This window comes from Homo sapiens, chromosome 17 (genome assembly GCF_000001405.40).
Source record: "Homo sapiens chromosome 17, GRCh38.p14 Primary Assembly".
NCBI lineage: Eukaryota > Metazoa > Chordata > Mammalia > Primates > Hominidae > Homo > Homo sapiens.
In genome coordinates, this window is record NC_000017.11 from 13,576,526 (window position 1) to 13,603,575 (window position 27,050).

General features: G+C 42.5%; 1 protein-coding gene across 2 annotated transcripts in view, besides 4 other annotated features; it reads right to left on the bottom strand.

Moving 5' to 3' along the window:
• Window positions 1–25,404, bottom strand: part of HS3ST3A1 (heparan sulfate-glucosamine 3-sulfotransferase 3A1) — a 107,898-nt gene extending 82,494 nt beyond the window's left edge. The window contains exons 1-2 of one of the 2 annotated variants that reach the window (XM_017025480.3): window positions 24,006–25,404; window positions 18,878–22,283 (exon numbers count right to left, since the gene is read on the bottom strand). In XM_017025480.3, coding sequence (XP_016880969.1) covers window positions 22,187–22,283; window positions 24,006–24,604 — 696 coding nt within the window. In that variant the 5' untranslated portion in view covers window positions 24,605–25,404 and the 3' untranslated portion in view covers window positions 18,878–22,186. Of the gene's footprint in view, window positions 1–18,877; window positions 22,284–24,005 lie in introns of those variants that run through there. The other variant, NM_006042.3, reaches the window with a different exon arrangement.
• Window positions 5,434–5,634: a silencer, noted in NCBI's record as "peak2737 fragment used in MPRA reporter construct". NCBI's record gives its function as "represses an SCP1 promoter by STARR-seq MPRAs in K562 erythroleukemia cells {active_cell/tissue: K562}" and the evidence as "EXISTENCE:reporter gene assay evidence [ECO:0000049][PMID:32103011]".
• Window positions 7,554–7,754: a silencer, noted in NCBI's record as "peak2739 fragment used in MPRA reporter construct". NCBI's record gives its function as "represses an SCP1 promoter by STARR-seq MPRAs in K562 erythroleukemia cells {active_cell/tissue: K562}" and the evidence as "EXISTENCE:reporter gene assay evidence [ECO:0000049][PMID:32103011]".
• Window positions 24,358–24,978: an enhancer, noted in NCBI's record as "H3K27ac hESC enhancer chr17:13504200-13504820 (GRCh37/hg19 assembly coordinates)". NCBI's record gives its function as "activates a minimal SCP1, AML or CMV promoter by ChIP-STARR-seq in naive H9 embryonic stem cells {active_cell/tissue: H9 hESC(naive)}" and the evidence as "EXISTENCE:reporter gene assay evidence [ECO:0000049][PMID:30033119]".
• Window positions 25,827–26,121: a silencer, noted in NCBI's record as "tiled region #12003; HepG2 Repressive non-DNase unmatched - State 4:PromP". NCBI's record gives its function as "represses a minimal TATA promoter and a strong SV40 promoter by Sharpr-MPRA in HepG2 cells {active_cell/tissue: HepG2}" and the evidence as "EXISTENCE:reporter gene assay evidence [ECO:0000049][PMID:27701403]".

Here is a 27,050-nt window from a genome sequence, read left to right on the forward strand (position 1 = left end):
TTATATTCTTTTTGTTGCAAGTGAATGACTAGGTCTAGCCCACATCCAAGAGGAGGATTATGCTTCAATTATTAAAGAAAAGAGCATCAAGAGTATATGACTTTGTGGACATATCTGGAAGATCACCACAGCGGTGTTAAGGGTGTCCAAAAACTTTTAATAACACCTAACATCTGAGGCATCTGATTTTAATTAATGCCTCTCCAGCAGTAGAGATCAAGGGACATTCTAAAAATTAGTTCACTATTCCTAGAGCAAGCAACAATCCTAATGATTTTTTTAACCAATAAACCGGATGGTGCAATTAATCACAATTTTCATGTCTAGCACTAGATGGCAGAACAGACATTTGGTTGGTAGGATGGCCTACTGCATTAGTACATTCTCATGCTGCTGATAAAGACATATCTGAGACTGGGTAATTTATAAAGGAAAGAGATTTAATGGACTTACAGTTCCACATGGCTGGGGAGGCCTCACAATCATTGCAGAAGGCAAAGGAAGAGCAAAGGCATGCTTTACATGGTGGCAGACAAGAGGGCGTGTGCAGGGGAACTCCCCTTTATAAAATCTTCAGATCTCTTGAGACTTATTCACTATTGCAAGAACAGCACAGGAAGGATCCACCCCCATGATTCAATTACCTTCCACCAGGTCCCTTCCATGACACATGGAAATTATGGGAGCTATAATTCAAGATGAGATTTGGGTAGGGACACAGCCAAATGATAACACCTACTCAGCATGCTATTAATTCATGGAACTAAGGTTTCTTCACCCTGAGTCTGCCTGGCCAGGACTGGAGGAAATCTTGCTAGTCTCCAGTTCTCCAAGCTATTATCAGTTCATTGTATTCCTGGGGTTGCTTTCTGACTGCCTCATGAAAGAAGACCTTCCTTCCCCACTGCCTTCCACTCTGAAGAGCCTTTTGGTCTGGCAAGGAAACCAGTACAGCTAACTTCTCCCTCCCGGGACAGAGGAATAATGAGAGCTTGAGGACATTCATGACAACAGTCATACCCACAAGCTTTCCTTAGTCAAAATTTACATAATCCAGGACAGAATACATATAGAATAATACAACTGTAGGCTTGGAGGAAACCAACAGAAATCACCAAATTTGACATTTTTATTTAGAAGATGAAAAAAACTCAGTCAGAGATAAAACACAAGTATGTACAAGTTCACCAATTAATTAATGGCAAAGCCACGGCTAGATCCCTACTAGAAAGTGCTTTATTATCCTAGTCAATATGACTACCATTTGCATCAAGTTCAGGCCCCAGCTTTTAAGTCTAGTGACTATTTTAAAGAAGACAAGAAATTTTGGTAGCAGTTTCTGGTGTGTGTGTGTGTGTGTGTGTCAAAAGAATTCTTAGAATAGCTCTTAATCTAGAACCCAATCAAAACGGGCATCTTCACACTACCAGAGACAGTATTTGATACAACTTTTCCAAAGGGCAATTTTGTAACAGGCGTCAAAAGATTTAAAAAATGCATATATCACTTTACTCAGCCATTTTTTCTGCTGAGAAGTTATCATAAGAAAATAATGATAGGTGAGCATTAAAGATTTAGTTACAAGGAGTCCACGGCAGTTTTAGTCATAGTGAAATATTGGAATCAAGTTAAACATTGAACAATAAGGATTGCCTAAGTGACTTATGGGACATCCAGACAACAGAATCCATGCAATCTTTTAAAAAATGCTTAAAATCTTTTTAAAAGTCAGGGTTTCCAGGCCGGGAATGGTGGCTCACGCCTGTAATCTCAGAGCTTTGTGAGGCCGAGGTGGGCGGATCACCTGAGGTCTGGAGTTCAAGACCAGCCCGGCCAACACGGTGAAATCCCCGTCTCTACAAAAATACAAAAAAAAAAAAAAAAAAAATTAGCTGGGCTTGGTGGTGGGCGCCTGTAGTCCCAGCTACTTGGGAAGTGCAGGTAGAAGAATCACTTGAACCCAGGAGGCAGAGGTTGCAGTGAGCCAAGATCGTGCCACTGCACTCCAGCCCGGGTGACAGAGCCAGACTCCATCTCAAAAAAAAAAAAAAAAAAAAGTCAGGGTTTCCACAGTGGTGTCTGAAAATTTATTCAATCTAATCTGAAGCCTGGGCCCAGTCTCTCCTAGACATACATATCCAGTGTTCAGTACAGTGCTTGCCACAGGAAAGAGACTTGGTAATACTGAACGAATGAATGTTGATTAGATTTTTAGCATAACACCAGACACACCCTAATAACAAAATCTTACCTGAGTAAGAGGAATTACAGAGATCATGTCAATATAAGCAATTATTTGCAGGTGTGTCAAGTATTTGACTGTTTGAATTACTTCATGTATTCAAAATAGATGTTGATTTTTCATTATTAAAGATACTCAAATTTGTCATTTTTATTAAATATACAAAATATGCAAGCAACATGCAGCTACCTAGGAAAACATTTATTACTAGATAAGCTGAACATTTTCTTGACCATATCACATAATTATATATTTTTAAATTCCCAGATGCCTAGCACTGTGTATCTTTTCAAAAAAGAAAGCCATTCATATAACTGGACACGTTTTTTCATTTTAATGAAATTTTTTGTCTTTGTTGTTTCAGCATCATAAAGATGTGGAAACTCTACCACTGTTCTATTGGTACAGTACTGCCGGGAGTGTAAAATCATACAACCATTTTGGACGTCGATTTGGCAGTATGTATCAAATGTTCATAGCCTTTGACCTTATGATTCTACTTCTTGAAATGTATTCTAAACTCTTACTCAATATTAGAAATAACATTACAAACAAAGATTCCCATCAAAAGTATCCCTTATAATAGTCCCAAATTAAAAAGTACCTTAAAGGGGTAATGATTACTATGAGATACTCTTAAAAGAGGATTTAGGCTGGGCCTAGTGGCTCACTCTTGTAATCCCAGCACTATAGGAGGCCGAGGTGGGCAGATCACTTGCACTCAGGAGTTCCAGACCAACCTGGCCAACATGGTGAAACCCTGTCTCTACTAAAAAATACAAAAACTAGCTGGGCAGGTGGCGCATACCTGTAATCCCAGCTACTTGGGAGGCTGAGGCAGGAGAATTGGTTGAACTTGGGAGGCGGAGGTTGCAGTGAGCCAAGATCACACTACTGCATTCCAGCCTGGGTGACAGAGCCAGACTCCATCTCCAAAAAAAAAAAAAAAAAAAAAAAAAAATCATAAGAAATTATGCTTTGGGAGACTGACAGAACTCCTCAGATCACCTGAGGTCAACATGGGGAAACCCTGTCTCTACTAAAACTACAAAAATTAGTGGGGCCGTGGTGGCGCTTGCCTGTAATCCCAGTTATTCGGGAGCCTGGGAGGCAGAGGTTGCAGTGAGCTGAGATCGTGCCCCTGCACTCAGCCTGGGTGACAGAGTGACTCTGTCTAAAAAAAAAAAAAAAAAAAAAAAGAAAAAAGAAATTATACATATACTATGATCTTAATTAGGTTAAAAACAAAACAAAAGCAAGGCTACCAGTTTTGCATTTGCCATGTCTTGCATTTGCCATTGCATTTGCCATGTTTTTCGTAAGGGGCAGCATATACAGTCTGTTGTGCTATAATGCCAACACACGCATTCTTCAAATCACTATGCTGATAAAAATTCACAGATTAAAAAAACCACAGGACTTAGAGGAAAATAGGATTAGGGTACAACACTTAAAATTTTCTCAGTGGTACATTAAAAAAAATAAAAAGAACCTAAATAACAATGGTAACACAGTTCCATACATGTTGATGGTTAAGAAATCCAGAAATTCTAAAATAAAAATGACACTTTGACTTTGAAAAAGCCCTAGTGTTTTCTCATGGAAGTGGGCATTGGAGGGGTTGCAGTTTGTGAATTATTGTGAAGTGGTGAATGGAAGGTTATCTAAAATCAGATCAGCAAAACATCACACTGTACCCTGTTTATACATTTATACACACAATTAGTATTTGTCAATTAAAAACAAGTTAATAAAAAATAATAATTTTAAAAAGAAAAACATAGTAAAGTAAAATCCAGCTTAAAGCCAGATTTTAGGGGTAAGACTCAGAACACACACAGTGGACCAGGTGCAGTGGCTCACGCCTGTTATACTAACACTTTGGGAGGCTGAGACAGGCAGATCACCTGAGGTCGGAGTTCGAGATCAGCCTGACCAACATGGAGAAACTCCATCTCTACTAAAAATACAAAATTAGCCGGACGTGGTGACACATGCCTATAATCCCAGCTACTCGGGAGGCTGAGGCAGTAGAATCGCTTGAACCCAGGAGGCGGAGGTTGTCGTGAGCCGAGATCACGCCATTGCACTCCAGCCTGGGCAACAAGAGCAAAACTCCATCTCAAAAACAAACAAAAAAAAGAACACACACAGTCAATTGAGGTCTCTGGTAGGCGGTTGGGGCATGTACCTGCATGTGTGTGCTTGTGTATTCCTGTGAGGCTGGGTGCAACTTTCGCTTTTCTGTATTCACTGCCGTTTCTTGTGAATGAAAATGCACATAAGCAAATGCAAAGCTCACATTATGGTCAAATGGTATGCTCAAAGATATTAATATTAATATATTAATTCCATTGGAACAAATTTGCATTTCAATACAAGCATTACAGCAGAACTGACTTAACTTATATGTCTATCATATACATTTATATATGTGCTATATACACATAATAGTAGAAGCTTCTGCAGTGGGTGGATCACCTGAGGTCAGGAGTTGAAGACCAGCCTGGCCAACATGGCAAAACTCTGTCTGTACTAAAAATACAAAAATTAGCTGGGTGTGGTGGCACGCACCTGTAGTCCCAGCTACTCAGGAGGCTGAGGCATGAGAATCACTTGAACCCGGGAGAGAGAGGTTGCAGTGGGCTGAGATCGAGCCACTGCACTCCAGCCTGGGTGATGAAGTGAGACTCTATCTCAAAAAAAAAAAAAAAAACGTAGAAACTTCCTAATTAATAAACTTTAACATAAGCTAATAAAATAATATTTCTAAAGTTGTCTACACACCCAACACTGTCTGAAAACAACTAGCCACACAAATACAGAATAAATAGATGTGAATGTGCTTGTCAATGAGCAGGCAAGCAAGCAATGGACTGAATAAATATTTTTACCATCCAAATAAGTTATGTTATATCAATGTTTTGAGAACTTATCTTAAAAACATGATTTGATGACTAGAATAGCTACAGAACTGTTTTAATAAACTTTGGTCTATCAGATAAGTATTGGGCTAAATGACCCCAAGTTCATTTCCAATGCTAATAATGAGATTTTGTGATAGTGTACTTTTTTCTTAATAACAAGGTACTTTATATTTAGATAAGAATAAATAAACTCAGTTCCCAGGGGGTCGCCCTTTAACTACTGTCTGGGCATTTCTGTGCCAATAGAATGTAACACACAGACTCATACTTTTTTCTTTCCTAAATGTCACCTGAGAACGGTGTGAAATTTTCTTCCTATTTTAAAATTACCTTGACTTAAGCAAACAGACACACAAAAAAAGACTTTCCTGGCAAACAGTTTGACCAATGAACAAATGACAGGAAGTGTTCCTCCTCTTTTTTTTTTCTGATGGATGTTATAAAAGGGGAAACAACTCGTTTGGCAAAGTATAGTACATCATCACTCAAATCTGAGTTCAATAGTTCAAATTTTTAGCGGCCTTGGGGAGGAAGAAAAAGAACTTTCTGTTTTCAAGGAAAATGATTTTGCCTGAGCTTTTAAAACTGAGCTAGCATATTCTATGCAATTCTGATAATAGGCATACATAAAAGTCATATGCCCAAATCAATGTATTGAAGTTGCTTAAATATCCAGTTATTATTTGGTTTTTAAGAACTTCCTGTTTAAAAGGGCAATAATTTTGCCCGAACCTTTACAACTGTGCTAGTATACTATGATAATAGGAATACATAAGTCAGAAGTCCAAATCAATATACTCATGTAGCTATTTAAATGAACTATGCTTTATTTGCTTTTTTATAAATGAAGGAAAAACATGCTTGCATGAATACAGCCAAAATATAATCTGTCCACTGATGTGGTTTGCTAAACGATCAAGGAGTTGCACGTGAAATGAAACATTTAATGCCCAACGTATTTCTAAGATTTCAAAATAATCACGTTTTCATTTGCATAGTACTACTTTCTCATTCATTATATTACTTAATGATTTTCATGCTTTCTTTCCCTGAGAAATCAATCAGTCTATCAGAAATCATATTTAAAATACTATGGTGTCTTTCCGAGTGACTTATTTTTTAGATAATGCTGTAATACAGAGTAACCTCTGGCAGGCAAAGATTCACATTTGCTCTTTGATAATGTGTAAGTAGCCTGCACAGTTCCTGAGACTCAGTCATTTGTTAATTTTGTAGAGGCAGATAGTTTAAATTCCTGTGAAGATGTTACAGCCATTCATTCTCCAGATATGAGAGAAAAATGCAACTTTGTGAACAAAATTATAGTGGTAACTGAAAGGCAATAAATTGTGGGTATGAGGAAATCCACTGGAAATCCACGGCCATAGAAAGGCATGAGACGCGGGAGACGTAGAGAAGATACAAACATTTCGGCATCTGTGAATTTTAGGACTCACAGAAGTCTTCAGAGTTATTCCTTGAAAAAATCTGACTCGACCACTAAGAAAATTTGAAACTGCCGTTAAATCACATTCCCCTTCATGTTGGCCTCTTTGCCCTTTTATTGGTGGGCCTCTGAAGCATTTGATGAGGGCTACTTTCTCTTTTCTCTTCCCCTTTTGGTTTTCTATTTTCTCCTCTGCTGCAGTTGTGTGGAGTTTCTGGTCATGCAATGAAATATTCTAAATTTTGTTACATATATGCAGAGAGTCACAAGGAGTCTGGCTTTATTTTAATCAGGATATTAGAAAAGTGAAGATCTCAGGCACGTATTTGTTTAAACTTAAGCCACCAGCTTTTACATTCTCCAGTTTTCTGGGCTCCTCATACTCTCAATTTCTCTTCTCCCTCATCCCCTCCAGAAAAATGCCCCTTAACACGTCACCATGCTGCTAAAGGCCTACCCTTAGATTTTTTTATCAAACTGGAAAAGAAACTCATGGTGAAATACATTAATTATTTGCAATATCCCAATATTAAATCTAAAGAGATGACATGAACATAGTTGTTGAACTTTACATAGTCACTCCACTTATTTTAAATAACATTCAGCTTGAAATTTTCTCTATTTCTTTTCTCTACGAACCTCTATGAGTTGGAGAGAAATATTCGCTGTGAACTAAATGAGAAATTGAACACTACAACGGTATTTGGCTTAGTTTGGTTTTGTTTTGCCATGAGCAGTACATTTGTGAGTCAGACAATAAAGCAATAATACATTGGTTTGGTTTTCTCACTCCTGAGGGTTTTTGCTTTGCTTCGTTTTTGAGGATTTCTCACCATTACCATGATTTCCAGAGAAGAAAAAGGAAAGTATTGAATGCAAAGCAAAGAGTACCTGGATTTTATGTGCTATCTGGTATTCATAGTGAACACATAAAAATATGTCACTGATGGAAGAATAGCCAATGGTTAAAACTTTTTAAAAGCCTTCAATGTTAATGAGGAAAAACCATAAGGTATTTAAATTTCTTCATTCTCTGATGAAATCTTCAAGCAAGTATTCAAAAAATGGAGATTCTTAAAGCAAGTTTGTCTTTATTTTCATACTTGCAATGGAGCTTAGAATAGACTGGTACAAGTGCTGCCTTGAAGAAGAACCACTATGCTTTTACCAAAATGTTCACGAAAATTAAACAGGCATTTCAGTTGCTACATGGCTACGTGTGTTTAATCATTAAGGATGGAAACCATAAGCATTCATCCAAAGAGCACAACCTGCAATTTCCAAAAAAAAAAAAGAAGAAAGAGAGAGAGAGGAAGGAAGGAAGGAAGGAAGGGAGAGACGGAGGGAGGGAGGGAGGCAAAGAAGGAAGGAAGGAAAAAAGGAAGGAAGGAAAGAAGGAAGGAAGGAAAGAAGGAAGGAAGGAAAGAAGGAAGGAAGGAGGGAAGGAAGGAAGAAAGGAAGGATTGATTTGGCTAAAACTCTCTGATTAAAAAAACAATTAATCATGCCACTATACATAAGCAAACACATAAACACAGAAACCAGGGCATATAGGTGCAGTAACCAGGAAAAAATACAGTAAGCACATTCTAAACCCTCTTTTCATCTCAGGAAGTTTTATTCACGTGGATAACTAGTCATAATCATCACAAAGCAAGTATGAGGATCCCATTGGGTGACTCAAGTCCAGGAAAGATAGGGAAGGTGGCAAAGATTACACAGATACACTGGTGAAGTTCATTACATTCCTGTGTCTTCTGACACATTTCCATTTACTCATCACCCCATGCCATGTGGCTTCTGTCACACCGCAAAAGCCCACCTGGCTTCAAGGTCACCAATGACTTCTTAACTCACAAGGCAAATAATAAAACCTGTATTCATCCTTTCTGTAGTATTTGATACCACGGACCTTGAAACCATCCTCCCATCCTCATTACCAGCATTTATTGTGGAAATGTAAGTTAGAGCAAAACTTTGAAAGAACTATACCATGAACAACCATTTAGCCGCCAATTACAATCTAAATACTCATTTTTCTGTGCTTTTTTTTTTTTTTTTTTTTTTTTTTTTTTTGAGACAGAGTCTTGCTCTGTCGCCCAGGCTGGAGTGCAGTGGTGCAATCTCAGCTCACTGCAACCTCTGCCTCCCGGGTTCAAGCGATTCTCCTGCTTCAGCCTCCAGAGTAGCTGGGACTGCAGGCATGCACCACCACGCCCGGCTAATTTTTGTATTTTTAGTGGAGACGGGGTTTCACCATGTTGACCAGGCTGGTCTCAAACTCCTGACCTCAGGTGATCCACCCGCCTCAGCCTCCCAAAGTGCTGAGGTTACAGGCATGAGCCAGTGCACCTGGCCCTATTCTCCTTTTTTTTTTTTCCTTTTTAAAATGCATTTCAAAGTAAATTGTGGACAGCAGTTCACACTAAACATTTCTGCATGCATGGTATAGACTACAGAAATTCTCCCTTTGGGTCTAGAATAGAAATAAGCACCAGTAGGACTCGGAAGACCTAGGTCTGCTCCTCTACATACGTTCACATCTTGGCTGTGCTGGCCACTGACACAACCGTAGTGATCATGGCTCCCAAATCTGACCCTTACTCCTGGGCTCCAGCTTAACCCAGAGCGCTTTCCACTTTACGTGTATGAAACAAAATTGCTCGTTCCCCTTGAGACCTGTTATTCCTCCTTCTGCGTTTTTTTTTTTTTTTTTTTTTTTTTTTCTGACAGAGTCTCGCTCTGTCGCCCAGGCTGGAGTACAGTGGCGCAATCTCGGCTCACTGCAACCTCTGCCTCCCAGGTTCAAGCAATTCCCCTACCTCAGCCTCCAAGTAGCTGGGACTACGGGCGCGGACTACCAAGCCCGGCTAATTTTTTGTATTTTAGTAGAGACGGGGTTTCACCATGTTGACCAGGATGGTCTTAATCTCCTGACCTCATGATCCGCCCGCCTCAGCCTCCCAAAGTGCTGGGATTACAGGCGTGAGCCACCACAACCCGCCTCTGTGTTCCTTATCACAGTTACAGTTACTAATAACTGAACTACTCTCCCTTTCCTCCTCCTTTTCGCATGGCTAGTATTCCACACAGTGTTATAAGTCCTACTTCTGAAACATCTACCAAATATTTCCCTCACTTCCCATGCATACCGCACTGCTCTAGTTCAAGCCTCTATCATCGGTCCTCTAGATTCCTCAACGGCCACCTATCCCAGTGTGCATCCGTATGCCACCGAGAACTAGATTTCCACAGCAGAACCAGAGGGGGTCTGTGAAATCAGTCCTCCACTGCAAGCCTTCAATGCCCCCTCCTCTGACTCTGCCTCCAGTGCCTTGAGCAGCCAGTAGAATAGCCATTGGCTTCATGAGGCTACTGAGCTCTTGAACTGTAGTTAACCCAAACTGAAATCTGCTGCAAGTGTAAAATGCATACTGGATTTTAGGCCGGGCGCGGTGGCTCACGCCTGTAATCCCAACACTTTGGGACGCCGAGGCGGGCGGATCACGAGGTCAGCAGATTGCAACCATCCTGGCTAACACGGTGAAACCCCGTCTCTACTAAAAAAATACAAAAAAATTAGCCAAGCGTGGTGGCGGGCGCCTGTAGTCCCAGCTACTGGGGAGGCTGAGGCAGGAGAATGGCATGAACCCAGGAGGCAGAGCTTGCAGTGAGCAGAGATCAAGCCACTGCACTCCAGCCTGGGCGACAGAGAGAGACTCTGTCTCACAAAAAAAAAAAAAAAAAAAAAAAAAAGGCATACTAGATTTTGAAGACTTAATATAAAAAACTACAAGATTTCTTACTAATAATGTTTTATTTTGATTTCATATTGAAAATATAATATTTTAGACATATTAGCTTAAGTTAAAATATTATTAAAATTAATTTCACCTCTTTACTCTCACCTTTTTAAGGTAACTACTAGAAAGTTGAAATTACATATAAGGTTCTCATTACATTTCCATTGGACTGTGCTGTCCTTTTGAATAAAGTCCCAACTCCTTAAACATGCCCCTTAATAATCTTTGAGGCCGGGCACGGTGGTTCACGCCTGTAATCCCAGCACTTTGGGAGGCTGAGGTGGGCGGATCACGAGGTCAGGAGATCGAGATCATCCTGGCCAACATGGTGAAACCCCACTTCTACTAAAAATACAAAAATTAGCTGGGTGTGGTGGCGTGCGCCTGTAGTCCCAGCTACTCGGGAGGCCGAGGCAGGAGAATCGCTTGAACCCAAGAGGCAGAGGTTGCAATGAGCTGATATCGTGCCACTGCACTCCAATCTGGTGACTGAGTGAGACTCCGTCTCAAAAATAAAAATAATAATAATCTTCAAAAATCTTTCCCAACCTTTGTTCCTAACTTGATGTCTCACTCCTCACCTGCACAGACAGATGAGTGAATAACACGCTGTTTCAGTGCAGAAGTCAGGTGACAATGAAAGTGACCTCACTGTACCCCTACTACTCCTAAATGATTCATATGGTACCCAGGCATCTAAAGGAAAAAGAGAGAGCAGGGGATGATTTATAAACTAAACACACTCAAGTACAAAGTCAAGGAAGCATCAAAACAGATGATTAAGCTTGAAAAAAAAGACCTACCACTACTTTGATTGGTGTTTATGTCTATTTCAAAACAGAATATTTGTAGTTGAGCATATAATCACATTCTAGAAAATGTCATCCTCCCAAACAACTTTGTGCATTTCAAAAATACAGGTCACTGGCATGCAGTTCCAGAATGCATGACCTAATCCCATTCCCACACAGCCACAGGGAGCTCTGTTATTTCTAAATTGGATCTTGAATTGGAGTTTCATCACCTACATTCTGCCTCCCTAACATTGCCATCAATATTAGCTGCGGGTGCTCACCTGAGAGTAACCCATAAATAAAGGAAGCACATATGAGATATTTGAAGCCTCTGGCTTAGCCCAGAAGTCTGCAAACAACAGCCAGTGGTCTTATAGTTTGGGTCAATAAAGTTTTATTGGAACACAGCCACACGTATTCATTTACATATCGTCTGTGGCTGCTTCCTGCTATACAAGCAGAATTGAGTGGTTGTGATAAACACTGTACCACCCACAAAACCTAAAGTATTTAGTATCTGGCCCTTTCCAGAAAAAAAAAAAAATTGCTGACACCTGGCCTAAGGGGTCATTAAATTGTTGTTTTTTCATTAAACTCATAGTGAGTCTATTCGTGGTACAGTTCCAAGCCATGGGCATATAGGGTTAAAAGAATTGAAGTTTAGAATCCATAGCATACAATGTTCACACTTAGTTTCTCAAGGGGCCCTGAAGCACATTCATTTTAGTCTTTTCAAACATGACTTCCATGTACACTAGTCAACGTTTTTCAAACTGTTTTTTTCTATTGGGATCCACTATAGCAAATACATTTTACACCCAATCCTTTCAGCGCACACACATCTATATAAGTAAATATAACAAACAGAACCAAGTTTGTCAAGACAATACTTGTCTTTCTTACTACATGGGATTCACTCTCTTAGTATAGTCCATTTTATATGTAGTTCCATTTTTTTTTTTTTAGACGGAGTCTCGCTCTGTTGCCCAGGCTGGAGTGCTGTGGCAGAATCTCAGCTCACTACAAGCTCTGCCTCCCGGGTTCACGGCATTCTCCTGCCTCAGCCTCCCAAGTAGCTGGGACTACAGGCGCCCACCACCACGCCCAGCTAATTTTTTTGTATTTTTAGTAGAGACGGGGTTTCACCGTGTTAGCCAGGATGGTCTTGACCGTCTCGGCCTCCCAAAGTGCTGGGATTACAGGCATGATATATAGTTCCATTTTTAAAGAATGATTGATTTTATCAGACATTCATGTCTTGTGATTCATGTTTGAAAAACTCACTGGTCCACTCCAGCTGTGGATTGTCTAACTCTGACCTTCACCACACGTCACAGGCTGTAAACTTGCAGCCATTCACTTCAGTTGAGATTGATTCGCTTCATCCACACAGACGTTTGTTTGGTTTTCATGTGGGTTTTGGTTTTTAATATGTAAATTCTTTTCCAATCTGTTTTTAAAAAGTCGATATTCCAAGTTTCTTTAAAAAGTCAGAGGACAAGGCACTAGGAGCCCTCCTTCCTACTTGGTAACAATCCATGGGAGCTGAGCAGTTTCTCCAAGGCCTGTTCTCCAATTTGCCACCCTTCGCCAACAGGGCAAATGCACCTGAAAATCCCCAGAATTGTCATCACAAGCTTTAGCTCCCTGTGACCTCTCCCCACATAAATATAAAACAGATCCAATCTGTTTTCTTTCCATCATTAAACCCTAGCAGGGCATTCTAGTAGACCCTCTGGCTTTGGGGAAAGCCCTTTTGAACAAATAATGTTGTAATCCAAAAGCCTCCTACACCAAGGAGTAAGAGTAAGGCCTCATTAGAAAGAAAAAAGTGGCCTTTCTTTCTTAAAACAAGAAAAAACAAAAAAGCAAACACACAACATTTGACAAAGGAAACTACAAGAATAAGTAGAGTTCACCAGAAAATTACACACACACACACACGCACACACAGGTGCAAGTTTCTGTTTACTTTGTTTAAAGCTTTGTCTGTGAAATGAAATCACTGCATCGTGGCAGCGTTTTTTCAAAACATGGAGTTAGGGCAAACATGGCTTCCGTTTAGAAAGGTGACGAGGGGAGCAGTTAGCTCCGGGAATGTAACTTTAGTTGCAGCTTAATCCAGTTCCCTTTTGTTAAATACCTGAACTTAATGAGAATCCACAGAGATTTATGACCATAACAAACACATCATTTTTGACTTTGTCATTCAAACCAGCCTGGCAACTTTGATATTTCCTAGTGAAAGGAGAGATCTAATCCAAGTAAGAACTCTGAAAAAAGGGAAAGAAATTTTATTCCCATAATTTGATTGATTACTTCCTACTCTGAACACTCGAGAGAGAAAAAAGCAAACTTTTTCCTGTCCATACTCAGATTTCTCCTGCTAATCTTTAACAAGCAGGCAACGGCCATAAAACACAAATTATTTCCAAGGACCCAAAGACCAATCACACTCGATGGGTTACCATACCTGTAAGTATCAAAATATTGTGGAAAACATCTGAGATGAAAACCAGAAATTTAAAGATGAATTGACCATTGATTCAATTCAATTCAAGGCTTTAATTTAATAGCTCTGTGAGGTTAAAAAAAAAAAAAAAAACTATGCTACGACTGGTTCCATTCAAAAAAATATTTTTATCATTGTTGCAAATCTGCCAAAACTAAACTTACATTTGTGGAGATGGGCAATTATTTCCCAATTGCATTTAAGAATTATACCATTGGAATTAGAAGCCCTGAGTTCTTGTCTTTCAGCTTAACCTGGGCAAAGCACTTCTGTTTCTTCCTATTCGGAAGACAATCTTTATCTTTCAGATACCTTCTACCTCCAACATCCTATCTGTTTATGATTCTATCTTATTGGAACTAAAGGAAGTTCAGATCAACAGTCATGTCTTATGTGACTAATGGTCTGACCACTCCAGTAAAGGCTTGGTGTTAGTAATGACCAGATGACAGGAAATCAATTAGACAAACATTATTAATAACAATAATAATGAAGATAGAATAGTACTTGGGATAACAACCAGGCTGTGCTCTCATTGGGGGTATTAACATATCTGAAGAATTTTTAAAAAGCATCAATCCAAAGGTGAAAATATGGAACAGTGAAAAAGACAGACTGGCAGAGTGGCTCAGCAAGGTTCCGGGAGAGCACTGGATTGGGGGGGGATCCCTACAGTGCAAAAGGGACCTCAGGGTAGCTCGGTGACACTAGCCACGGCACGCAGGCCTCAGCTCTCCTTGCTCCAATTCCAGATTCAGCAAGCGTCCTTCTGATTACATTTATTTTCTTTTTCTTTTCTTTTTTTTTTTTTTTTGAGACAGAGTCTCACTCTGTCAGCCAGACTGGAGTGCAGTGGTGAGATCTTGGCTCACTGCTACCTCTGCCTCCCGGGCTCTGGCCATCCTCTTACCTCAGCCTCCGGAGTACCTGGGATTACAGGCATGGCCACCACACCCGGCTAATCTTTTGTATTTTGGGTAGAGACAGGGTTTTACCATGTTGCCCAGGCTGGTCTCGAATTCCTGACTTCAAGTGATCTGCCCACCTCAGCCTCCCAAAGTGCTGGGATTACAGGCATGAGCCACCGCACCCAGCTCTGATTACATTTCTGACAACATATTGGCTTTCTCACATAGCAGTTTGGAGAGTGTTTTTAGTGGTTATTGTTATTTTGTAATAAATGGGGGAAAAATCAATTGAATGACACAAGATTTCTAATATGTTCAACAAGATAAGTTCTGTGATCAGACAACTTCTTTAGAGAAAAAGGGAGAAAAGTTGACAAAAATGAAGGCGGTTTTAGTTATTCCATAATAGGCCAATTGACTAACAGAGGTATTTAAATACTTTTAAAAATTCACTTTTATGACCATATTTTAATGTATTGCCCAAATTTCCTTTTTTCTTCTTCTTTTTTTTTTTTTTTGGGACAGAGTCTCACTCTGTTGCCCAGGCTGGAGTGCAGTGGCGCAATCTCAGCTCAATGCAGCCTCTGCCTCCTGGGCTTAAGCAATTCTTGTACCTCAGCTTCCCGAGTAGCTGGGATTACAGGGCGTCCACGACCACATCCGGCTAATTTTTGTATTTTTAGTAGAGATGCGATTTCACCATGTTGGCCAGGCTGGTCTCGAACTCCTGCCCTCAAGTGATCTGCCTGCCTCTGTCTCCCAAAGTGCCGGGATTCCAGGCATAAGCCACCACACCTGGCCCTAACGTGCTGCCCAATTTTCTAACTAAAGGTCCAAGATCAGAATGTCCAAGTCACTCTACCACATGGGGCAGCCTTTCAATCCCCTGCATCTTTGAGACATTGATGGCTTGCTATGTAGGCAGGTAGCAAGAACTACCTCTGGGCAGTTCTGCCAGAGACCATCACAGAGACCATTCACCCCAGTGGTGAGGCTCTGGCATGCTGGAGGTGGGTGAATCTGGGTTTGGCAGTAGTTCTATGACCTACATAGTTCTATGATCTTGGACAAGTTATTTCATCTTTCTGAGCCTCTTTTCTGATCTATAAAATGTAGAAAATGATAGGACCTGCATAAAAATATAAATCCTATTAATAACATCAGACTACAAGCAACAGATCATTCCGCATCATCCAGCACATAGTGTAGCCTCAACAAATACAGTTAATATCACCTCACCTCTAAAATGATAGATTTCATCAAAGATATACCGCGGGGTCCAATTATTTTGCTATTTTAAAAAAGGCTAAAACGCATGAAGAAAAGTGTATAGCCACTAAAATGGAAAAATGCCAAACAAGTAGAGAATGGTATTAAATCACAGAAATTATTTTTAACTACATAAGCATTTGCAGTCTATCCCTTGCACGAAAGCAGTTGATAAAACGGATCCAATAAAGATAAGTGAATGAACGATTCAAAGAAAATACTGTTAGTTTCTTGGAGTCTCTTGATGGCGTGGGTGTTGTTTTGTTTTGCTTAAGTAAAAATGTAATGTGGATAAAACTATTTTTACAGTTGTTAAAAATATCAGAGGAAATGTTCTGAGGGAGATTTTCATTACTCTAGTCAACCAGAAGCCCAGATAAACATAACTGTGTATTTAAAAACAGAAGCAGAAAACGACAGCACACCACCTAGACAGGAACTTTGAGTCTGATAAAGCTGGGAGTCTGGCTGAGCAGTTCCAGTGGAATAAACCTGCATAGTTAGAAGGTGCAAAGAAACTGATCCTCCAGAGGTCTGAAGGTTGCACTTTCTCTCTTCCTGCCTCTTCCTTGAATGCGTTAATTGTTCCAGGTCTGTTTTGCTCCTATGGAAAGTTTCATAACCCAAAGTGTCTACAACAAAGGTTAAAACAAGCGAAGTAAGCAGATAAAATTACTAAGCTGGCCTGGAAAATTGGGACCGTGTTGTCATCTTTGCCATAAGGTGCATCCACAGCTCTGGCCCTATCTATTTTCCCTATAACCAGCTTTCAACCACTGACACCTGTTCCTTCTATGTTTGTAGCCAAAAAAAAAAAAAAAAAAAAGTCATACGCCCAAGTCTGATTTTCCTCTGACCCTTATTTTAGTTTTTAGCTCTTTGTGTCCTCAGAGACCTGTCATTTACATCAACGTTTTTGTTCTCTATGACAGGAAGCTTTGGGGAACCTTTCACACCTTCTTCACTTTACATTTGCCTGCCATAGAAGACAGAAAGAAAGGAATACAAAACTGTCTCTGTGCTTGGTTCGGAAACAAGAGAGTAGGAGGGAGCCGTGAGCCAATATGATTATGAAATCAGCTGAGGGAAAGATCAGCATGTCTGGAAGCAACAGGTGCGGGGCAGGGGAGGGGAAGCTGGTGGGCCCATCCTGGGGGCCCTTCTGAAGGAAAGGAAAGAAGAAACACGGAATAAAAGAGAATCGGCACAGACAGGATTTCAGTATGAGCCCTCATCCTTCAACGCCTGTTAGGCTTCTCCTGCCTTCTTTGCTGTTTTCACCTTTGATTTTAGAATCATTTTAGATATTACAATTGTGAAAAATAGCACAGAGAATTCGCATACTCCTTTCACCCAAATGATCATCTTAGGGGATATCATAACCCTAGAACAGTACAACGATCAAAACCAAGAAACTGACGTTGGTATAATGTTATTAACTAAACTGCATACACTATCCACATTTCCCCAGTTTTCCCATAAATGCCTTAGTTCAGACCCAGGATCCGACCAAGGGCACCCTCGTGTTTACTTGTTAGTAATGACTCACTTTTGTCTCCCCACATCTGGGATAGCTTAGCGGTCTTGGCGTTGTTTTGTATGATCCTGACACTTTTGAAGGGTACTGGTCAAGTATTTTGTAAAATGCCCCTCAATCAGTGTTCGTCTAATGTTTTCTCAGGGCTATACTGGGGTTACGGATTTGGGGGAAGATTACCGCACAGGTGAAGTGCCATCCTATTGTATTATATCGGGGATCATGATCTCAACACAACAGGGAATGCTAACCTTGGTCACTTGGTTAAGGTGGTGTCTGTCAGTTTCTCCACTCAATCTGTCCTATTTGTCCCTTTCATCCTGCCTTCCTTTAACCTGACCACCACCCTGCATCCCAGCCTGCTCTCCCAGGCCCTGGACTGCAGGCGCAGAAACGCCTGTCCTGTCGGAACTCTCAAAGCGCTTTCCTGTGAAGCTGTCCCGTGTGTGGTGGACAGGATTCTCAACAGGGCATCTCAGGCACCTTAAGGGTTAAACAGGCTTCTGTTTAGAATGACAGGATCCTCCTCCAGAGCCACACAGGGGAAGGAACAGGCCTGCATTACTGATGTTGAAATAAAATCATCTGGAAGTATTTTCATTTGAAGCTGGCTTTCAGACACAGAGGCAAAACACACTAACAAAAGTAATCTGGGGCATATGGTATTCCTTTCAGTCATAGGCATTTTTAATATAAATCCCCTAATCATTTATATCTTGGTTTTCAGTTTATTGTGAAGCCAAATCTCTTATTTCTCTCCAAAGAATAAATTCCCTGCCTAAAAGAAGTGAATTATCCTTGCTTGAAAAAAAGGCAAAGTGCAGCTCATCCTTACTAGACAGATCATCTTGCTATAAGTGCTACCTAAACACAAGCTTTTGTTGCTGCTGTAGTTTCTTTTTTAAATTGAGACTGCAAATATGCTCTATCATGATGAGGTTTTTCAAAGTTCTCCCTTTAGGGGTTCCTTCCTGACTCCTCCTCCCACTAGGTGGCGCTACATATCACATTCAAAGCGGGCTGTTCGAGTCGGTGAATAGTTTGTGTTGAAACCTTTGCAAGAATGTCTCTCGAACTCCCGACGGCAAGTACTAAACTTCATTGTTAATTAAACACTTCCCCGTCTCTTTTCACATTTATTGTCATCAGACAACTGAAACAGGCCAGTTCTGAATTTCTGTAATACAGTCGGGCAATCTTAGGATAAATGTAAGTTTTTAGGGGCCTGAAGAATCATGACCACATAGTAAGGCAAAAATTCAAGAGTTACATCACGAAGGCAAGAAACTGGGGAAAGGCTTCCATTCACTAACTCAGCATTGCCTGGAATATGATCTCAACAGTGCCCCCCAAATTCTTCCCTACTCAGGATGTCCAATACTGCTCAGAAGTTCCCCAATTACTTAATAACATTCCTCTCATAAATTCAATTTCTAAATTTTGGCTTCACAACAGTTTATTTATTCACTATATAAATATCCCCCAGAGAGATTTTTAAACTGTATCAAATTAGCAAAGGTTTTAAAGTGCTGACAAGCATTTTTAAGACATCCTTATAAAATGCAAAGATGAGGGAGTACAATTTCCTCTGATTACATATTAGAGGCACATATTTAATAAGAAACCTTATGTTCACAATTGCAACTCATCGCTTAAGCAGAACAAATTTTCTAAAAGCTTGGAGTTTACTATCATTAGGAAACCCATACCAAGAAACGATGCTCTTTTTCAGCCAAGTTACTATCACTTGGTGGAGGAAGATTTCCCCCTAAGGAAACGAGCTAAGAATATCAAGTTCCCGACTGGGCCCAGCAATTTGACTGATGGTGATTGCAATTTGCAATTGTTCAACTGTGTCCCGGAGAGATACGAGGCCTTTTTGGTTGTTGTTGTTGTTGTTGTTGTTGTTGTTGATATCAGAGAGTTTTGTTTGCTCTGCAACACTCTTCTCATGAAGTAAGCATCTGGTCTATGTGAGGTTAGCCCCTATTGTCATTAATTACACAGGCTTATTTCATTCCCATGACCCTGCCAAAATACAGATTTGGCACTTATTCTTTCCTGGCCAATCAACAGACTTATTTAAAGGAGACAAATATTTTGGCCAGGGTATTTTCTTTTTAAAGAGCAGGCAGGAGATTATAACGTAGTGGTGGATTTTCATGGAAGTCTGTGAATTTCACATAAAGTATAAGAGCGTATTATAAATCTCATCCCTGTAAAGGAATATCCATTCACACAAGGCATTCCAGTCCAAGCTCTACCAAGTGTTTTTGGTGTTGTTTAATGCCCGGACTATGATCTCAATAGTGTCCCCAAACTGTTCCCTACTCAGGATGTCCAATATTGCTCAGAAATTCCCCAACTACTTGGTAACTTTCCTCTCATAAATTCCATCATTGTCCCTGCCTTCTCGGTGTCTGCTCCCGCATGTGTGAGGGTGTGCGCGTGCGTACACACACACACACACACACACACACACACAGAGGAACTAGGCTGATCAACTTGCACTTCTGGTTGTCTATTGGGGATGAGCCCAGAGTTCAGACATTTAGCAAACTAGATGACAGTATTTTGGGTCCCCAGCCTGTGACCAGGTGGGGAATGTCTAGGTACTGAGAACTTCTATAGACAAGTACGCTAGACTCAGAGTCCAAAGTAACATCTCACTCTCTTCCTAGCCCTCATCTATTCCCAATGTTCTTTCCTCTGCTCTAAGGACAGAGCGCCCTTGGCCATCAGTCCACATGACCTTGCATGGGCGGCCAGACTGCAGCTTCGTGGCTCGGATTTCATTTCAAACTCTTCACACAGAAGGGGCTTGCACAGTACAGGAGGGTGGGAAACTGCACATGGAGGGACTTTGCAGCTGCTCCCAGCTGCTACGAAATGCCAATTTCTCCTCCTAGGAATCGAAAGGGCCTCTGCTCAGTATGCCTCTCTAATGGACTTGAAAAACGGGGCCATGATCGTTCGAGGCCAGAAAATTTCAAATTTGGATGAAGTCAGGGGAGCACTAGCTCCTAAACTGTGAGCTGGACAATCTTTGATCTTCCTGTATGCTCTAGAATAAAATGATTCTAGTGATGTCCTTCTCTGCTGAAATTGTCCAGATTTGGCTAAAGAAAAGAAACTGAAATATAAGAAATAGACATGCTAGTGTAAGAGACTGGATAATAAATATTTCCTATCTTGTACCAAAATAATAGACTGAAATATTATTGAATCTAAACATTTATATACATACATATGTATGTGTATGTGTACACACATATTTAACTACTTTATTAATAAGTATCTTTTAGCTTACAAGAAAAAAGAGACATACCTTTTAGTTGGTACAGACAGAAACAAGCAGAAGAGAGCCTCCTTATTAAATTCTAAGCTCGCCTGCTCTTGAACTACAGTAGAGGTATTCGGTCCTGACTTCCAGCAAAGATCTCAATGTTTTGAAGCTAAGGAAACTTTTTCCTTTCCTTTATGAAGCCACCATACATACAAGAGAAATGGACACTATTCATTGCAAGGGACTGCTTTACCGTGACATGCAAGCCACAGACATTTGTTTTAGTGATATCATGTCTGCTAAATTAAGTAATGAGGAGTGTTTTTTTTTAAACTCCACCAGGGTCGAGTTTCTCAGCATATAAAAATTTGCCTTTGTTTTATTTATTTTAGAGAAAGTCTATTAGGACATTTAAATTAGTGAGAATAATTTTCTTTCTAGAGATTTTGAATAATAAATATTTTCTTTATCTTTACTACAAATGTGCTCAAATGAAGGAAGTGTTTATTACTTCACTCTTGGAAAAAACTTCATAAAGTATTTTATTTTCTTCCCAGTGAGAGTAATTGACTGAAAAAGTTCAGCAACAGGTATTTCTAACTGACAAACTCATTCTCCAAGACACTTTCTTCAAACTTGCTAATTGCAGCAGATTTGTCCCTTTGTGAGGACAGTAGGTGGCACTGCCACCACAAACTATCATGGCTAACTGAGTGATTTCACTGGGCAAAAAAAGGCTAGACCTTTTAGGATTCTCCCGTGTCAATGTACACCTAAAAATAATTATATAGGTTTTTCTCTTCCATAATTCACTGCTGGGTGCAAATATCTGGAATTTATTTCTGTTCGTGTGTGTGTCTGTGATAGTGTGGTCATAAGTGTGTGGTACAAATCCTGTATTGCAAAGTTTGGGCTGACTCATGCAGGTCTAACTGAATCCCCTGTTCTAAACTATTAGCTAAATATAAGTAGCTAAAATGCACTTAATATTTAAGTGGCATTCTGGGTGGGAGATTTTTTTTTCATAGACGAGCCTTCAGTCTTGCTCACAAACATCAAACTCCAAGTTCAGAGCCAAGATGAAAGAGAACTGTGGGGAAATTTCATTAAATAATCACATAATCCAGGCTCCATAGGTTGGATTTTTTTAAAATAAGTTTCCTATGTAATTGAGTTAAACGTAAATTTATGCATCCAATAAAAAACCACTGCAAATGGGAAAACAAAGACATTGCTCCAACACTTAGAAAATTAAATTCAGCAAACCGTGAAGTCTACTGTGCAGTTATTTTTGTGACCACCATAAATTGCTTTACAAAACTCTTCTGCTGCAGTAAACAATCCAAGAAGAGATTTACTTTATAGCATGCATTCAGTTTCCAAAGGAAAGAGTGGCCTACAAGTTTATGACTCTTTTTTTTTCTTTCTTTCTTTTTTTTAAAAAACTACTTGTGTTTCTAGTTACCTTGAAACCTTCCTCCCCTTACAGGAGCTCAGAAAGGTCCATGGAAAATAAGATCCAGGTCTGCAGATACACCGTGCCCTCAAATACTCATTTCTGGAATAAGAAGAAACAATCCTACTTTGTGGAAATAAAGTTTATATGGCAAAAGGAAAATAAAGGGTTTTAGTACTAAATATTTCACCATATTTAATAGCACCTCAGAGCCCAACATAGTGTTAGATGTTTCAGACAGTCAGCTTGAAATGTGTTCGCTTACAGCACAGTACGAGGCCGAATTCAATGCAAACTGCTATAGATAAGAGTTTTAGGGGTCTTTAATCACTTCTTTCTCGTGTCCTTGATGGAAAAAACAGAGCTGCCTTTGTGCTAAAAAGAAGGACCTGTTGTTTCCAGATTCAACAGGTCATTTTTATAAGAACTTCCCAGAGGATACAACATAAATGACAGAAACACAAGGGGATATTTTAAGTGGCTGATGATTTTAAATGATATATCATCTATATTAAGGGAAGGTTGTTTGTTTTTTCTTTCCAACAAATGGAAAGTTACTGTTTTAAAAGTGTTTAATGTTCAAATTCTATTTTTAGGGCCAAATCTTTTCTCTCTGAGTGGATTGACTGTAAATTCGGCTCCTGAAATCAATCTGAGACTGCAATTGGCCCCTCAAGTAAATAAACTTGTCAAATCATATCCATTTCTGTGTTGGGGATGAATGATTAATTTAATGGGCTTTTTGAAAATACCTAAATTATGTTGTAATTTTTGTAACTGTTTCAGTTAAAATAACAAAGAGAATGCATCTTTTATGAACAAGATAAACTTTATAAAATGGAAAATTCTAGCAACATAATTTTTACTGGTACTTTGAAGAAAGAAAAAAAAAGCCAATATATTATGGCAAACAAAATCCAGGCGACACTAGCTTTATTAGAATCTGGCTGATTTTATTATTAAAGGTGGTCTGAATTTGAAGAGACTGGCAAATTTAAGATTAAGATCTAAGCCAGACTTATTTCCTAAACTGTATTGGCAAAGTTGTGCCAATGTATTTTTCTCTCTGTTGTCTTCTTCTTTTAATTGGCTACCTTATTTGTAAAGAGGATTGAAGATCTTTAGAAAAGTTTCTGTCAGTCAAAAGACAAAAGTTACTTTTCCCTGCAAATATCAAAAGCACTTTACAAAACTCATTCCTTGCCCTCAAACAAAAGTTATTGCCAAGCGTCCTTTAAAATACAGTGCCTGGTTGCTTTCCCTTGCTCAGACAGACATATATTTTCCAAACTACCCAGATTCTCTGGTTCTTGACACTTTTACTAAGTCTCTATATTACTTCCCACCTAGGACAACTATCTGGCAAAAGGTCAAGGTAAATAAATACCTGATGGTAAAGACTGTGTTAACCACAAAGAACTTTCCAAAAGATAAAGAATGAAAACGGGCTTCCTTGGGAAGGAGAAGGCAATCTATTAATTGTTGAACAGGTTTCTAATTTAGAAGAGACTTTTTTTTTTTCCTTTAGTTAAATACATGAATACTTTCGCAGAGCAGGAGAAAGAGACCAGACTGGCTATTTGCTGGCAAGGGATTCCCAAGGATGAAAATTATGAAGGCCAGAATTTCCCTCCCACTCTCTCCTTCAACATCCACTTCCCAGGAAGGAGAAGGCGGAGAGGGAAGAAAGACCCTTGACGACCCTTCGCCTTCTGCATGAAGTGGGGAGGAGGGCGAACTGGGGGTCACCGAGGGCTCCTCCACGTCTTTCCCAGCCCAGGACCCCCGGATCCTTCAGCCCCAGCCCGGGCCCGCCCCGCTCACCGGTACCAGGCGAGGCCCTTGTCGTAGCTGCGGTCGAAGAAGTGGGGCTCGGCGCCCACGGCGCGCACGTCGGGGTGCACGCGCAGGAACTCCAGCAGCGCCCGCGTGCCGCCCTTCTTCACTCCGATGATGATGGCCTGCGGCAGCTGCTTGCTGCCTTCGTCCAGGAGCAGCGCCAGGGTCCCCGGCGGGGCCTCGGCCACGGTGCTTCCGGCCCCGGAGCCGCCCGGACCCCCTGACAGGCCAGGGGACTCTTCTTCCCAGGCCGCCTCCTCGCCGTCGTCGCGGGGCGCGGGCGGCCGGCGCCTCCGCCACTGCGGCAGTTGCAGGAGGCGCTTTCTCTGTGCCGCCGCCGGCCACACCGCCAGCTCCCTCGGGCCTCCGGCCAGGACGCCGCCACCAGGGGCCCCCGCCTCCTCGCCGCCGCCGGACAGCCCCACGACGGGGCCGGACAGGGTCTGGCAGCGCTCGGCCAGGCAGTAGAAGACGTAAAGGGACGTGAGCAGGGAGCAGAGCATCAGCAAGAACTTCCGGAAGATGCTGCGGGACAGCGGCTCGGCCGAGGTGGAGAGGGCACTGGCCGGGCCCGGAGGGGCCATCCTAGCCGGAGGCGACGTCGGGCAACGCGCCGGCCATGCTAGGCCTGGACCCCGACAGGTGCCAGAGCATCCCCCCGGCGGGCCAGCGCGCTGGACGGAGGCCACATCGCCGTGCGCCCCTGTGGCCGTGCGAACTGTCCCGGGAGGCAGCGGCCGGGGCTCCGCGGGGAAACGGAATCCCGGGGGCCCCGCGCAGGATCCCTGCCTCCAGTCGAGGGAGCGGGAAGGGGAACGCGGGTCCGTGCTTAAGAAACCATCGTCTTAGACTCGCCCAAGTCCTGAGCTTGGGGCAGCCTTGGCCCCTCGGTTCCCCGCAAGAGTCGCCGGAATCGGGGTCTTGGCAGCGGTGTCGAAGGCGTGCGTCTCAGCCCCGGCCCCGAGAGACTTCTCGGCGCGGATCTCCGCTCAGCGATCCTGCATCACTGGCTCGGTCCCCGTGAGGGCACGCGCGGCTGCCGGGCCTCTGCGCTCCGTGCGCTCCAGACAGTGGCGAGCGACAGTGACTTCCAGCCCCGGCTTTCTCTGGTCCCCTTGCCCGCCTGGGCGCGTTCTCTCCGCCCGAGTTCAGGTTCTCTCAGCCAAGGAGCGAGGTCCCCCCGAGTCCCTCTGCCCGAGCGGGAGACAGGAGGCCCGTGCAGAGCCGTCCACCCCTCTCCGTAGCGCCGGGTTGCTCCAAACTGCTCTTGGACCCCACCTGTGAGCCGCGTGGCTGGGCTGGGCTGGGCTGCGCGGGACCTGTCAGCGGCCCCCGCCACTCTGCTCGCAGGCGCTCACCGGCTGCCTCCTGGGCCGCCGCTGGCCGCCGCCACACGTGGGACGCCGAGGGCAGCAAACTTGCTGGTGACGTCAAAGGCCCGGGCCGGACCAGCCCCCGGACGAGCGCAGCGGGGCGCGGACCAGCGGCCAGGCGGGGCCAGACGGGCGGGGTGGGATGGAGAAAAGGTGGCGCGGGCTCCGCAGCAGCCGCCCAATGGCACTGGAGAGGGCGGGGGCGGCAGGGGCGACGCCCCTTCCCCAGTGTCCCCCATTCCTCCCCGCGGCTTCGCCCCCTTCCAGTGGATCCGGTGTCTGCGGCGGCTCCGGGGTTGCCTGAGTGACAGCTAAGGCCGGCCGGATCTCTGGGGGCCTGACTTCCACCCAAGACGCCACTAGCTTGGTGAGGGGCCCCAGAGCTCTCCACCGCAGCTCAGCCCTCCGCAGCCCTGACCCTCCCTCTCCAGGTTCCCCGCGCTCTGCTCCCCTCTTGGCACTGTTGCCCTATCCTTCCCCATCCCACTGCTTTCCATCGCCTGGAACCTACTCCTCGTCCCCTTGGAAGTTTTGTTTGCAGCAGTTCCCAGTACTGCGCTGCACGCCACGCCCCCGTTTGTCTGGAGCAAACCGAATTCCTCTGCAGCAGCTTGGACTTCTACCTACTCAACTGTCTGCTGCGGGTCTTGGAGCAAAGCTCTTTCTCGTATCAGTCTGTTTTTTGTTTGTTTGTTTTCTTTTCTTTTCTTATTTTGATTGTTTTCCCTTGGATTTGTATAAGATGATACAGTCCTCCAGGGCCTAGAAAGGAACAACCTCTTACGAAAAAAAAAAAAACCAATGCATAAATCAAAGGCAAAATTAAAATTTAAAAAAAATTCAACTCCGATTCCAAGTCCCTATGCCCAATTTTTAATGTAGTGTGTATTTCCTTAATGTTGTTTGTACTTTTGTGTGTGTGTGTGTGTGTGTGTGTGTGTGCGCGCGCGCGCATGCACGCTCGCAAAGAGGTTAAATGTCCTTTCATAAACTGCGGTTTCCTCTTTCCCTTGCCTCCCCTGACCCTATATCCTCTTCGTGCGCTCCCCGGAGAGCAGGTCAGGAAGGGATACAAACCGCCTTGCTGTCTAATGGAGGGAGGTGGCCCGTGGAAGCTGCATGAGGTGGTTTTTTGTTCTAATCCTATTTGTTCCTTATTTTTTGGCTTCCTTGCCTCCACAGGTTGCCTCACCATGTGGGCGGTAGCTTGGGAGCTTCTTACCAGCCCCTGCAAGCTGTGGAGGCAGCTTTCTGGGACCTCTGCGGGTGCTAACAAGGGCCCACCGCAGGCTCAAGGTCCACGGTGCAGGAAACTTACCAGGCATTTCTGCGTCCCCATGCAGGAACTTCGCAGCCTTTCTGTGCTCTATTTGACCACGGAAGTGGAAGTCAGCTTCCACTTTTTCAGCTTCCAAGGGGCACCTAGTGGTTCTAACTCTGGGCTTGCATGGATCCATGAATTTGTGCCCTGCTAGATAAATACTCACTGCTGGATATGGTTTATGGTTTTATGTTTATGAACTACCAATCCCAACTGATTCGACAACCAGTGAAGAGCTTTTTAGATTCTGATGCCGTAAAGCGCTGGGCGTTTACGAGGATGGACAAGCCCTGCCAAGCTGTAATGTCCTTTTGTGTTCTAAAATTGGATATTGAC